General features: G+C 36.2%; 1 long non-coding RNA gene across 4 annotated transcripts; it reads right to left on the bottom strand.

Moving 5' to 3' along the window:
- Positions 1-238: 238 nt before the first annotated feature.
- On the bottom strand, positions 239-14841 carry LOC101926956 (uncharacterized). Of its 4 annotated transcripts, none has more exons than NR_188017.1 (4): positions 14722-14841; positions 5914-6100; positions 4579-4880; positions 239-1751 (listed from the first exon to the last, which is right to left on the bottom strand). It is a non-coding gene; the product is annotated as an uncharacterized LOC101926956 (long non-coding RNA). The 4 variants fall into 4 exon arrangements; NR_188020.1 differs by having other exon boundaries at positions 5914-6061; NR_188018.1 differs by lacking the exon at positions 5914-6100.
- Positions 14842-15910: the final 1069 nt, after the last annotated feature.

Raw genomic sequence — 15910 nt, 5'->3', positions numbered from 1 at the left:
TACTGTAGATTAGTGTAGCATTTGAGTGTTAGTGCAGAGGTAAAATTGTTTTCTCTATTGCACAACCATGATCTTGAAAGTTTTTATTTTATTCCAATAATGGAGATGCTTGATCACATACTGAGCCAGGTAAATCACAAAGCCAGCTCTTCAGCAGTCCTGGGCAGGCCCTAACTAGTGCCATAGCTGAGGACTGCATTAACCACAATTCTGATGAATAAAATTCAACACAAGCTCATTTGATTTGGTACAGTGGGAATAGGGATTTTTATTCAAAAATACAATAATGCAACAATAATAAATGCTCTCATTCCACACTGTAAAAAAAGAAGCCAAGGTACTATTCATGGCAGTCTGTAGTCTTTCATTACAAAGGACAGCATACCCAGTTCATGAACACTACAAGAAATAGCAACTTGTGTAAAAGAAATAGAAATTTGTGAACTAAGAATATATATATATATACATTTGAGAATGAATGAGTCAAGGAACAGCAGCATTGTGGTATCAATTACAATGCCAAACATGTGGCCACTTAAAAATTTTAACTTGAAACAAGAAAAGAGATTGTAATTCAGCACAACGTAGCCCATTAATAGCTTATAGTTTCGCCTTTGAAGTCAATGACCCACTTTTCCCTCTTGTGCACCCATTAAAATTAGGTAGCACCTTGCTTAAAATGTTGACAATTTTGAGATAGCATATAAAGTTGAACAGATGCTATAAATTTACCCTTTAAATGAACAGATTGGGACAGAATTGTATTTTTATGTTAGATATAACTTAAGTAAGAACTGGGTCTCTCTACCTTCGTAAATTTGTAGTGAAAGTAAGAGTCAACAGCAGATGACAGATTTGAAATTCTGCCTAACAAAAATTCTCCATCATAATAATTTTTAAAAATAAGCATGTAATTCATTAAAAAATGCCAACCAAAATTCCAGGAAAACAAATAAGAAAAAGTTATTAAAGAATATGGTTTTACTATTACCACACCCATCCCAATTGGTATCCCATCCAATCATTTTACACTAGAAAATTTTCTGGTAAGAAGGCTTAGGGATAGAACTAATTGCACCTGCTAAGCTAAGTCAAAGAATTAAGGGATTTCTATATTTGCTATTCTCAATACCGAAAACAAGATTGTCCTATTCTGTTTTTAGGAATCAGGGTTAGTTTGGAAGATCTTAGAATATTCTAGAATCAAGGGATCTAGAATTCCCAACTTCTACTTCTGTCCCTCACCTCTTTTTCCAAATGAAACTTCCAAGAAATCGTGAACCGAAAGGGCGAGGACAAGTGCTAAATTTAAAAGTGCCTCGGTTCCTGTCAGCTGGCCCCCCATGTTCTGTCACAAAGCTCTCTGGACAGCTGGGCTGTGCCTTTGGCTCAGGCTCATAGCTCGAGAGAAGTCTCTGGATTCATTTGTCTTCGTCTTAGCTGCAGCTGCCCACTAGAATCAGAGCTGGTGCTCCCAGGGAAGGAGGGACTGGAGAGCCTTGCTGCGGTGCCTCCCTCAACTAAAAGCTGGCAAGTGTGCCTCCGTCCGGCTTCCCTCAGGCCTGTCAGGCCAGCTTCACCTTCTCCCAGAACAGAGGATGGGAGTTGAGGGAGGCAAGAAAAAGAATGAGAAAAAAGAAGCTCCCGTGGAAAGGGAATGGTGCTGAGAGTTCTCCTCCTGTCCAAAGGCAGATAGCTCTGCACGGAAAACACGATCATTCAATTCCAGGCGCAGCTATGTTCTACAGGACCTGGAAAGGAGGAAGGGGTGGACGGTTAGACACGGTTCTTGTCCTTAAAAGGACTCAGAGGTAGCAGAAAAATGGGCTCTAATCACAAAACAAGGTATTCGGGCTTTATGTGTTTAAAAACCAACTTACATAGAAAGTCGAAAAAGGCAGTTACTTCCACTGTGAATGTGAGTGGTTAGAAGTGATTTAAACAGAGACATTCAGTTAAGGTATTGAATAACTAAAAGTAATTTTAGCAAATTATTGAAATGAGAAAACAATACCAATGAAAGGGAAACGGGAATAGGTAAAGAAAGTAACAAGAATTCAGGAGATAGGAAATTATGTGGCATCTGTGGTGAGTGCTGTGGTTAGAGATCTGGGGGGAAGAGACAGGGCAAGAGGGAAGCATCTGGAAATGATCCAAGAATGGTATGTTGTTGCTAATTTTGGAAGGGCCTTGAGTGTCCTGCTAAGAAGTTAAGAGTTTTATGAAGAGAAATAACATAATCAGGTCTGCTTTTGCGGAGATGACTCTGACAACACTGTGAAGGGCAGACTTGAGGTGAGAAAGGTATAGGTAGAGACACCAATAAGGAGGCTCAGGCAGCTGTCAAGGAGGCAGTTGCATTGGATATGAAGTCCAGCAATGTTGGGTTTCTCAGTAGACACTGAGGCTGCCTGCAAATGGAGCTACTGAAATAGTTTTTGAATAATTCAACATTTTAGAGTTCGAAGATGTTAAAGTTGTCATCATGGGAAAAATCAGATTTTTGTTAGACTTTATACTGATTCTATGAATAGTTTGTAAAGTACGTGTGCTTAGTGGGAGTAGGGGCTGCATCATTATTTTCTCCATATTTAGGGTTTCCAGAGGTCCTAATCAGTGATGAAATCTGTTCCTTAGGCAGTTGAATGTACAGGTACAATTAACTGAAATAAGGAACACAGAAACAGAGCAGATTTCGGAGGAAACAAGTTTAGTTTTGGGATTTTAGAAGTTAAGGTAACAGAGGGACTTCTAAGTGGTGGTGTCCAGTAAGATTTGGCACTCACTGGGTGGGACTGCACTTATAGACAAACAATATCTGAAGAGCACAAAGTTCCTTCACATGCATTATGAAACAGAAGGTAATGGTGAAAATGTCATCGCAAACACAGAAAAAAGGGGAGGCTATTTGATTGTTTAATAGCACTAAACAGACTTATTTTCTGTTTAAAAAAAAGGAACTTGTTTTGTTTTATTTCTGGGTAAGAAGACTTACAGTTTTTTTTGTTTTGTTTTGTTTTGTTTTTTTTAAGAGACAGGATCTCACTATGCTTCCCAGGCTGGAGTGCCGTGAGTATTCACAGGTGTGATAATAGCACACTATAGCCTCAAGCTTCTGGGCTCAAGTTATCCTACTGCCTCAGTCTCCCAAGTAGCTGGGACTATAGGCACATGCTACTGCACCCTGCTGACTTAAGGATTTTATAGGCTGTTATGGGTCAGTCAGTTGTTCAAAAGAGATGCCATTCTGTTTCCTGGTCAATTTTGTTATGAAAAGCTTCTATTTGTGAATTTTCTGGTTTTAGTTCATTGTACAGTTTGAGGCTACAAAAGAGAACTTGACTGACTGACATATAATGGAATCAAATTTTACTGTGCCAGGCACATAGTAGTTATTCAATAAATATTTGTTGAATATAAGTTTGTGAGATGATTATGCCTGTCTCACATACCACGCTCTTCAACTGAGTTCAAGTTGTGAAGCAACCATGAGTTTTTCACAATTCTAAACTTCAGCTTTTCCTTCTAAATGAGACTAACAGGGACGTTATAAAATGAATAGGAAAACAAGTGCATTTTTTTCCTCCATAACGTATACTGCAATTTGCGTGATATGATTTTTCCTCTTCTTATAGAATATGGAGACTCATTCACAGAATGGTCGAACGTATCTCCCGCTGATTTTGTTTTATTTTTAGAATGTATTCAAACAGCATCAAAATCTGTTCTATTCTAATGAACCAAATTAAGTCCTATCAATGCATTTTAAAATAGGATACATTAATTATCAGGCAAATAATAATAATACCTAATGAAAGTATTTTGACAAGTCCTATGATACGGACTTGTAAAGACTTTCCATACGTTATTTCAGTTTTACTATGAGGGAGGCACTTTTATTACACTCCATTTTCATATGTAAAACCCTGAGAGGTTAAGTAGCAAGCTCAAGGTCATACAGCCAGTAATAGGTGGAGCTGAGATTTGAACCAGCCAAGGGAACTCCAGATCCCATGCATTTAATTCACAAAATTACATTGCATTATTTCATGCCTTAGTTGCCATAAGGGAGGATTCTTTTTTTTTTTTTTTTACCAATCCAGCCTAAATGAAAGTAGGTTTTCTGAATATGCCTATTCTTCCCTAATTTTTTTTTTAATGAAACTTTTTAAAAGCCTCGTTTCACAGTTTCTAGTAAAATTAAAACTTCTCCTTTGTCTTAGCCACAAAGGAAATTCTCAGGAAATAATCTTGACATTTTCTCAGCAATTGAAGCTGAAACCATAGAACAAAGAAATTACACAAATAAACAAAATCAATCATGTATAAGTTTCAGGAAGGCATTTTAAGATTTCAGCCTCACTTACAAATTAAGAGTTTACCTGTTAGTAGCACTCACATTTGGCCATGGCAAGAGAATGGCATTGTTTTTTTGCCAAAGAATAGACTGTTGGAAATGGCTGTTTGAAAAGCATTTTGATAATGTATCAGCAATAAAATGTTTATAGCTTAATTGACATTAACATGTAATCTATAAAATAGAACAATAAAAAAATTATCTTAGAGACTGAGACTCACCTAATTGAAAAAGAACATTTTAAGCACTTGTAAGTACTCCAAAACAGACACCAAATATAAGAAAACAAATTTGAGGTAACAGCTCTAACAGTCAGGGTTATCCAGAGAAACAGAACCAACTGTCAGCATGTATAAATAAATTTATATAAGGAATTGGCTCATGTGATTATAGAGGCTGCAAGTCCAAAATCTGAAGAACAGGTGCTGAAGTTTGAGTCTGAAGGTTGGAGACTACTGCAGAACCAGGAAGAACTGATGTTCTGGTGGTTTGAAGCCCATCAGGCAGGACAATTCTCTCTTAGCTGTGGAAAGGTCAGACATTTGTTTTATTTAGGCCTTCTACTAATTGGATGAGGTGCACTCACATTATAAAACTTAATCTGTTTTATCCAGACTATTAATTTAATTGTTAATCTCATCCAAAACACCCTCACAGAAACACCCAGAATAAAGCTTGACCAAATATCTGCCCATGGCCCAGTTGACACATAAAGAAATCATCAAAATACCATGTTCTCTGATCACAATAAAATTAAATTTTAAATAAATAGGAGATACACATTCAGAGAGTTGAAAACTCTTCTAAAGAACTCATAGGTCAAATAAGAAATTATGATGGAACTTAGAAAACATGTAGAACTAATGACAAATAAAATGTTTTATATTAACATTTGTGAAATAAAATCAAACTGGCACTTAAAAGGAAATTGTTAGCTTTTTGTGCAAATACTTGAAACAAACTTGAAAAACAATTAACTGAATATTCAAATTATATATCAGTGCAAGAACTTAGAAAAACAATAGACTAAATTAAAAGATAGAAGTAATGACATAATAAAGAACAGAAATTAATAACCTAAAAAGAAAAGCAATAAAATAAAAATGTAAAATGGGAAAAAGACAATCATAATATAATTGTCTTAAAAAGTAATAAAATTGATAAAATGCTGGCGAGTCTAATCATAAAAAAGAAGATAAAACAAATTAACAATATTATAAATAAAGAGAAGAATAACTCCAATTGTGTCAACACTTAAAAAAATCTTACTCATATACAATTTTATGCCAATAAATTTGAAAATTTAGAGAAAATAGATAGTTTGCTAAGACAATACATCCAAAAATTAATAAAAATATTATCTAACAAATTTATTTTTTAACGTAATTAGATAGATAAATATTTACCCTTTAAAAAAAATTAGAAGTATTCTCACACATATTTGAAGAACAGCTGGATTCAACCCTATTCTGTTTCTGTAAAAGAGCCTGCTAATTATCCCCAATACCTGTTCTCTCTCTTGAATTTTAGCTGATCATGGAAACTCAACTACAGACCTCATTTTGTAGTATGTTGGCAGCTAGTTTTGTTAATATGACTGTTTTGGCCAAGAAGCTCTGAATGGATGCATGCAACTTCCAAATCACATCCTTTTGTGATGATAGAATCTGTCATCAATTTCTTCTTTTTCTCCATCCTCATGGGCTGAAATGTGTAGGCTTGGTATGGGTGAACCAGTTTTTTCTTTTAGATAATGACAAAATTTAGAAAATGGTTAAGCAACAAAATAGAAGAAAGAGCCTTGTTTTATTGGATACTCTTATGAAGCCCAGATGCCTACTCATTGCCTGTATGTTGTTTGTGCCACTATATTTTTGGACTTTATTGTTAGACCTTGTGCATGCCAGTTACAAACTTGATTCTAAAATTGGATGAAAAGGGCAAAAGAAAGAAAAATTACACTTTCCTGACTTAGTATAGACTCAAAAGTCATAAATAAAATGTAATTTATTTGAATAAAATATAATCTAATATTTTAACATTAAAAAATTAGTACATAACAACTATGTAAGGTTTGCTTCAAGAATGCAAGGATGGTATAATACTAGAAAATTTATTAATGTAATTTACTACATAGACAGATAAAAAGAAAAAAGTATATGAAATCTCAATGGATACAGAAATATTTGCATTTGGTAATATTTAGCATCACTTTGTGGTGAAAACTGTAATCACCCTGGAACTGATGGGGAAGTTTTTAAACTGATAAGGGCTATGTACCAAAATTAAGTAGCAAATGACAATTTTACAGATAAAATATTAGAATGGTTTTCTTCTAAAGTGGGAAGCAAGATAAAGGTGCCTATCATTTTTAATTTTATTCAACAGTGAATAAATAAGCTTTCAATGCATTAAGTAAAGCAGAAGAAACACACAATGTAAGAATTAGAAATAATTTGTACAACTTTTATTACTGATATTTAATATAAATTTTTATTAGATAAATTTTTTGTGGCATATGTTAAAAACGGAACATTATACCAGTTAATAGGAAGAGATTAGGGTTACTTTTACCTAAATCCTTAAAAAAATCCATTCATTCTTCACTCTAAAATATTTATCATGTGCATATCCTATGTCAGGCATGGTTTAGGTAATGGAATATGGCACAATACAAAATAATATTTGAAAACCTGAAAAGCAATACACATTTTATTTATAAGCATACACATAAGTAGTGGCCATAAAAAAGAACATATAGGGAAATGCCTGGAAATAATAAACATGAAACGAGTAGAGGGATTACTATCTTAAGACGAGGAAGTATGAAGAGTGAGAAAGGAAGAGCTCCCCGGGGGCTTCACTGAAAGGAGGTATAAATATCTACATTTTCTACATCTATATCTACATCTGTGTCTCTCTACACAATATATAATACAGATGTAAACATGTTAAAATTTAACAGAGTTGGAGGGTGGGTGCATTGATTATCATTACATTATTTTTAAAACATTCTCTGAATGCATAAAATATATCACAATAAATATATAAGAAAAAAATTTTTTACTGATGTTCAGATCCTGTATCTCAGGATGTTTAAAAAGGTAATGCTACCCTGGGACACCCATCAGCATCCAGCCAGCCAGCCAGATATCAGCTGCTTCCTACCTTGTGCTTGACTTATTTTTCAAACTTAAAATGTTAGGATTCCATATTGACCCCTGAAAATTTGCCCTACTATTGAGACATTGGACATTGGAGTGTAATGCTTAAATGCTTAAGAGTGGCCAGATTCTGGAATATAAATCATAGTTCTATCATTTCCTACTTATGTAATTTATTGTAGGGGTGATTAATTTACTTAACTTCACTGGGCTGCAGCTTTCTCTCTGAAAATGTGGGTAAAAGTAGTACCTATCCCAAAGGATTTCAACATTTGCTGAGTGCTTTTTAAAAATTCCTGGTATCACATAATGCATTTTAACTGTTACTACACATTAGAACTGTGCCTGACACAATAATTGTTTGATAATTGCTTATAATTTTTTTTAAAATAGGGAATAGCATGGTAGTTTAATAGGCTATAAAATTAGGTTGCTAGGTGGAGATCTTGGATCTATCGCTCCCTGTCTCTATGGCTTTGGACAAGTCACTTCTTTGGGCTTCAAATTTCCTAACTGGGTAAAAGGGAGATAGTAATAGCATCTACTTCCGAAAGCTGTTATGATGAGTAGATGCATTCATATAGGTTAAACCCTCATGATTGGGCTATTGGAGGGATAATTGCATTTAATATTATTTTAACATACACATATATGTCCATACATATTCATACAGGATGTGTGTGTGTGTTTGTGTACATAAATATGACACACACATATTCTGAAATCCTCTTGCTAGCAAATTAACAGAGTGTAGAATTTCATCTCACCCTGGTTTGTGTACTCTATGAACACACTCATTATCTCCCTTCTGAGTAGCATTTAATATCCATCATAGAACTGTTTATCAAGAACTGACACATTACTTTGTGACCACAGATTTCCATCATGTGACAAGATTTCTAGGACCTGAGAACTACTTGCCTGTCCAGTGCCATGAAGACATCTGAGTAATTGGATATGTCTGTTTAGTTACAGGCTCCAACACTCATAAACTCTGCCACACTGCCTGGATCCAATCTTGCCTCGGCCATTATGACTGAAAACTGTGGACAAGTCTTTCACTCCCTTGGTGTCTCAGTTTGTTAATTGATAAATGGTGAAAATTGTGGCACAGTTGGTTTATTGTGAAGATTAACAAGTTGCTACATGTAATGCACTAGAACCTACCATAAAGAAGATTGCAATTACTACCATGTCTGCTACTTTTATTACTACTAATTTGTTCATGTAATAAATGCACCCATTATGTCCTTGGCACTAGGGTAGTTGCTAAGAATATAGCGTTAGTGAGACACACTCATGATTTCACAGAGCCCAATTTTAGCACTATGCAATGGAGTAGAAGAAACACAACATTGGAATAAACAGAGTTCTTTAGGAACTCACAACCAGAGGGAGTGGTTTCCTTTGTAATCGTTGCTGGGGAAGGAGGAAGAGTGCTATTGACTGAATGTTTACTTCCCCCTAGTATCCATACGCTGAAATCTATTCCCTTAAGGTGATGGTATTTGGACGTGAGGTCTTCGAGAGCTGATCAGAGGGATGACTGTCTTCATAAAGGAAGTCTCAGCGAGCTCTCTCACTCCTGTCATCTTGTGAGAACACAGTGAGAAGTATCAGCCATCCATCTGTTAACCAGGAAACAGGCCCTCACCAGACACCAAATCTGTTGGCCCCTTGATCTTGGACTTCCCAGCCTTACAGTACTGTGAGAAATAAATTTCTGTTGTTTATAGGATGCCCATCTGTGGTATTCTGTTATAGTCTTCTGAATGGACTAAGATAAGGATCAAGACCATGAAAGACTTCACAGAGGGAGTGACATTTGAACTAGAGTTTGAAAAATAGACGTTGAAGGGGAGATCACTGGCATAGACTTGAAAGTAGAGAATGGAAGATGGTTACAGAATAGGAAGGAAAAGAAACAGTGTGTGTAAAGATAAGAAAGTATATAATTACAGTATTCGGTTTGTTTAAGGAAAGTCCCTGAGGCCAATAAGGTTCAAGAATAGGCAGGCTCACAGAGCTGTGGTAATAGTTAAAATACAACAAACAGTATACACTAGTTGGTAAATAATTGCCCTTCCACACTTCCAATATGTCACTCAAGCTCTGCAGCCTGGACTACCTTAGAACCTTCCAAACACCTCAGATTCTTTCTTGATCCACCAACTAAAGGGTTGCGCTTCCATGACTAATAGCTGTGCCTCTTCTGATTGGTTAGAATCCTATGGGTTGTTGAATATTTTTAATATCATCCCTGAGTACAGATAGTGGGAGTATGTGAGTTTACTTTTTTATATCTAATTAATTGGTATTTAAATTGACACTAAGTGATGTGAAGCTAGTTTTATCCCTATAATGCCTGCATTTGAATGACTACTTATTAACCTTAGAAATACCTAAAGAAAAAGGTATTTTTTCAAGTTGTCTTTATTGTTAATTTCTATAAATTAAAATGCAAGGAGATGCCACAACAGAACCTGGAAAATGCAGAAGTTACTTGTCTACTATCTTCTGTCAATTAATACATAATTATTGTAAAAATGTTTTAAAATGCTTAAAATAACCCCAGAATTAATAACCGTTAACTTTTTTTTAGGAATCCTCCCAGCTGATTTCAATGTAACTGGTGTTATAATGTATGTGTATGTATGTGTGTGTGTATGTGTATGTGTGTCCCCCCCAGGTAATCTTAGTGTAACTAGTGTTGTAATAAGCATGTGCATGTGTGCACACAAATACATTATGTGTATTGTTGTTCACATGAATTGCTTTCTACTAAATATTCTGCTCTGTAATTTTGCAATTTTTCCACTTAACAATGTATCTTGCACATGTTTCTGTAACAGTATATATAGATTTACTTATTTTCTTTAAAAAAATCATTGTTTAGAATTCTGCCTAGAATGTCTACCATAATTTATGATGGATATTTAAGTAATTTCCAGACTTTTATTATTGTTAACAGGGTTGTAGTTAATATCTCTGAACATATATCATTGTACATTATAAAAGTTTTTTGTGAAATTGATTCTTTGAACACACAAGTAACTCATGCTAATTGTTTTCAAATATAAATTGTTGTTAGTGTGCAAAAAAAATACAAGTTTAATTACCTGAATCCTTAATAAGCTTCTCTGAAAGCTTTATATATCTCTCAAGCAGAAAAAATAAGTAGATGATATAATTGTCCCCTGTCTAGACTGAGGCAACCATGGTGACATTTGTTCTCAATTATTAATTAAACACACATGAAACCCTTTAGATAAGCAGGTGATATGGTTATTATTAGATGTATTGCTTGTTTACAACAAGGACATATTTAGAGCTTGAGATCAAAGTTCCAAAGCTGATTTCAAAACAGTAGCATTAATTACGCTAAGGCCTGGGACTCTGGGGAAGCAATTCAAAGCGAATAAAAATGACTTCAACTACAGCGAAGTTATGTCTTTACATCATTATTCTAAATCCATTACTCAGACTGTTGCAATGGTGCTGGTGGAGGCGAAAAAAACAAAACAAACCCTCAAAAAATTTCACTGTATTCTCTCAAAGAAGATATGCACTGTACATATGTGAAAGAGTTATATCAATACTTATCCATTAATTATTTCACTTAAAACCCATTTATTCACCAATACCTGAGTGCCAAGCTCAGTGCTAAGCAGTAAGGAAGGAGCTTTGAACAAAACAGACATTATTCCTAAACTCACAGTCCTCTCCCTAGACTTGACGTTTAGCCACCATAGCAATTTTTTTCTGGGGGGAGGGGGCAGGAGGGGCAGAATGTGTTCATATAAACTTCTTCCTCAGCATTTTCACTGCCATTATTCTAGCTCAGGTCATTACCATTTCATTCCTGAACTGTTAGATTTTTATAATTGCTTACCCTGCTCCCAGCCCTAATCTATTAATCGACTTTAACCCAGTATTGCTAAAAGTGTTTTTTCTAAACACTATTCTTTTTTGAGACAGAATCTTGTTCTGTTGCCTAGGTTGGAGTACAGTGGCACCATCTCTGCCCACTCCAACCTCTGCCTCCAAGGTTCAAGTAATTCTCTTGCCTCAGCCTCCTGAGTAGCTGGGATTACAGGTGCCTGCCACCATACCCTGCTAATTTTTGTATTTTTAGTAGAGACAGGGGTTTCACCATGTTGCTTAGGCTGGTCTCGAACTCCTGACCTCAAGTGATCTGCCCGCCTTCGCCACCCAAGGTCCTGGGATTACAGGCATGAGCCACCACACCCAGCCACACATGATTCTTTTAATGTTGATCCCTTATTCAATCACAATGCCTGAGTGTTTTCTGCAATGTCCAAAATGTATATATATGCCAGTACTAATGGCCTACCATATTTTCCCCAATCGATCTGTCTAATCTGCTTACAGATGTCCCCATAGACACACACACACACACACACACACACACACACACACACCCCTACCTCACTCCAGTTAGTACGTGCTCCACACTAACTTCAGAAATCTGCTTTGGATCTTTTTGTGTCTGATTCTGAGTTCAAAGTCTTATCTCTATTAGATTCCTCCTTTGGTTGCAATGATCTAAATTTTGTTCACAATTTAAGACTGGAATGAAGCCCTCACCTAACAAAATTAGTTATCTAGTGTCTATTACATGACAGACACTGAATTAAAGCATTGGGAATAAAAATAAATATAAAAATATAGTCCTCTTACTTAATAACAGACATCAGCAGATAATCACACTATAAAATGGCAAATCTGGTGAAGACGTATGTCTACTATGGAAGTAGAGAGACGGTTACCCAGTCCAATTAGAGGTATGGGTAAGGAGCAAGGAAGGCTTCTTGGAAGAGGTTACCCTCAAAAAGAATCTTATTAGGAGGAGTTATCTAGGTGAAGAGGATAGGGACATTCCAAGCAAAGGGGAGAGCCTGAGCAAAGGCAGAGGCAGGATAAACAATATAGCATATGAGAGGAATTACAAGGCCTTCAGTATTGTGGGAAAGCAAAGCATGAGGTAGGTGGTCATGTAAAATAATGACAAAGAAATAGACCAAATAATGTGGAACCACTGGCAAATTTTGTTAGGAAAGTAACAAAATCAGAATCAAATTTGGATGCATTTTTCTGTCCACTGTGAGAGGATGAGTTTGGGCACAGAGTTGTAGAGGCTGGCAGACTACTGGAATAGTCTAGGGCCTGCATTAAAGTAGCATGAGTAGTTATGGGGATGAAGAAACTGATTCAATATTACTTAATTGGGTTCCTTGAGGGAAAGTACACATTACATGGTGATTATCTGGATATAAAAGCCAAAGGAAAAGAGGAATTCAAGGATGAGCTTCAAGCCTCAGTTTCTATTTTGGATGACTAGGTAAATGGTGTACTCCTGACAAAGTTGGCAATTACAGGGAGAAGCAGCAGATGGGGAATACCCTAACATGCTCCAAAGGATTTAGGGTGGTGCATGGAGCTACAAGTTCCCATAGGGACAATCAGGTGGAGATGATGAACTGGTTCTGGGAAAATTTCAGAGCTGGAGAGATAGCATGGAGCATTACTGGCAAAGTAACACCAGGATTACTAAAGTACACATCTTTTCTGGTGGCAGTCAAAATCCTGAAAGTGGATTAACACAAGGAAGTACAGAAAATGGAAGACATAGTGGCAGAATGTCAGGAATATCAACATTTAAGAAATAAAAAATGACAGAAAAAGTCGTGAAAGAGGACAAAAAAGAGTGATCAGAGATTGTAAGCTGGTTAAAGACAGAGCAGCAGAGTGGTGTAAAGGAACTCAGAGATTGAAGCGTTAAATAAAGGAAGTCATTACCATTGCCAGATGCAACAGAAACATCTGCCCAATTTTTCTTCAAGAGCAATTTCATTGAGGTGATGGCAGTAAAAGCCAGACTTCAGTCTATGGAAAAGTGAATAGAATAACATAGAGATAGCGTAATACTACATTCATAAAAAAATAGAAATACAGGAAAGATGGGACATAGACTGGTATAAAAATAGTGTGGGGAAGGATTTTTATTTAGGATGCAGGATATTTATTTATTTATGTTTCTAAGCTATTAGGTTTTTCTAGCAGAGAGGTGAGATGGAAGGTTGAGAAAAGAAAAGATAACTGATGAAGTAAAATATAAAGATAGTAAAAGGAAATTGAACCAAATGCACATTATTCTCAAAGACTAAAAGGAAAAAGAGAGATGAATTGTGCATGTAAATACGTTTGCAAATAAGGAGGGCAGAGTTAAAGAAGAGCACATCTAAGGAGCTCACCTCTCTCTTCACCTATCAAAGCAGAATGCTTTCCCTACAAATAGCCCCAAACAATTCTCTTTATCACTATTTTACTCGTATTATTTTAATGATTACTTAGAAATTTTCTAGACTGCCTCTCATGTGTACACACACACACACATGTACAAACACAATCTTGAAACAAATTATTAACCTTGAATAGTTAATATTGGTGCATATTGGTCAGCACCTATACACAAAATGGGTTTGCTTTATGGCTAAAGAATAAAAGTAGATTCAGGAATAAATTCAAGCACTCCAGAATGTCACATGACAATATACAAAATTTAAACGTTAAAGGAAAAGTTAAAATTAAAGTAACAGGCCTATAATCCCAGCTGCTCAGGAGGCTGAGGCATGAGAATCACTTGAACCTGGGAGGCGGAGGTTGCAGTGAGCCGAGATCATGCCACCGCACTCCAGCCTTCCAGCCTGGGCAAGAGAGCAACACCCTGTCTCAATAAATAAATAATTAATAAATGAACAAAAAATAAATAATAGAAAAATTAAGAATCACTACTTGTTTCCAACTCATCAGAAAGAGAAAGAGATTCTAGAGGCTTTTAATTCTTTGCAATTTTCTGTATGAACAAAGAAAGGAAGAGAGGAAAGACGAGAAAAAGAGAAGAAAAAAGAAAAGAAAAACACAAACTTAGAAAGACAAATATTATTTTGCTATCCTTTGAATACTCCACAACACCCACTGTGGTGCTTGGCTCATTGGAGGGGTCAATAAATGTATATTAATAGTTTGATATAAACATGGATAAAAGAATTACACGTAGGATACATGTGGAAACATATCTCCTTCATAGCACTCTCACTCACAGTGAAGAACCTCTGAGAATTAGAAATAATTAAAATAAAGAACTGAAGCAGCACTCTTGGGACATTCTGTACTCACATGAAAGACCACATGATAGCTCCTTCCTGATCCCCAAGGCCTCTGGGTGTTTGACAGCCTTTTTGAGGGTTCACCAAGCCCTTTGCTGCTTATGGCAAGGTTATGTCTGATCTCAGATCCAAATTGGTGGTGCACAGGCCCATGGGAAATAAGGCCAGATCTGTTTGGCTTCAGCTCAATTTCCACGTCTATAGATAGCCATAAAACTCAAAAAGAATCTAAGGAAGTGAGATATTTCATAAACAGGAAAACAGGATTACCACTTGTCCTGGTTTCACTTCCATGGTGAGAACAAATATAGTGATCCCTTTGCAACCAAAATTTTCCCCTACTAACTCCACCCCATATCTTCAGGGATCTCCCTGGAGTTTGACAGAAAATGTGCACTGCTTGGCCAGAGCAGTCTTTGCTTTCTCCTCTTTTTGCTTTGCCATCCTGTTTAAGGAACTGACAAATATTATCTTAAATGCTCAGGCACATCTTGTTCCTGAGACAGTCCTGCTCACTGAGGCTGGAAAAAGATTTCTTTTTCCTAAGGCTGGAATAAGATTGGCTAGCTTTGCAGTTACATGAAGTGAATTCTACAAAGCTTCAGACACTTCACTGCCCACTAAACCATGCTGGCTTTCCCAGTGAAGTTCTTTTCTACAGTGGGCAGCTCCACAGGCAGGGCTGTTGCCTATATGACCAGCTGGCCCTCTGTTTCTCTGCTGGGAGTGGTCCTTATGCTCTGAATACTAGCTCACTATCAGCTTCCTTGGTCCTTCCTACCCCTCCTCTCCATCCTTGCCTATAATTACTCAAACATACTGTTTCAGTAGAAAGGACAGGAATGTCAAAGACATATCAATGTAGGCTCTTTCATCTCAAGGTAAGGAAATGTTTGCAAATTTATTTAACCAACAGTGATTTAGCACTTGCTTTATCAGACAGAAAACATGCATGAGTCAAGTTTTTATGAAAAGGCATTTTCTGAAGGTAAAAAATAACACAAATACTAGTTATAAAAAAAATTCTATCTTTACTTAGGTCACAGAATTAATTTAATGCGTAAAGAAAGCCGATGAGAGGAAGAATACAAGATGGTGAAGAAATGCCTCATAGGCAACCTCATTAAAAACAAACAAACAAACAAAAAACCCAAAAAAACAAAAGAAGGGCTGCGCACGATGGATTATACCTGTAATCC

This window comes from Homo sapiens, chromosome 8 (assembly GCF_000001405.40).
Source record: "Homo sapiens chromosome 8, GRCh38.p14 Primary Assembly".
Classification (NCBI taxonomy): domain Eukaryota; kingdom Metazoa; phylum Chordata; class Mammalia; order Primates; family Hominidae; genus Homo; species Homo sapiens.
This window is presented reverse-complemented; position numbering and strand designations above follow the sequence as displayed.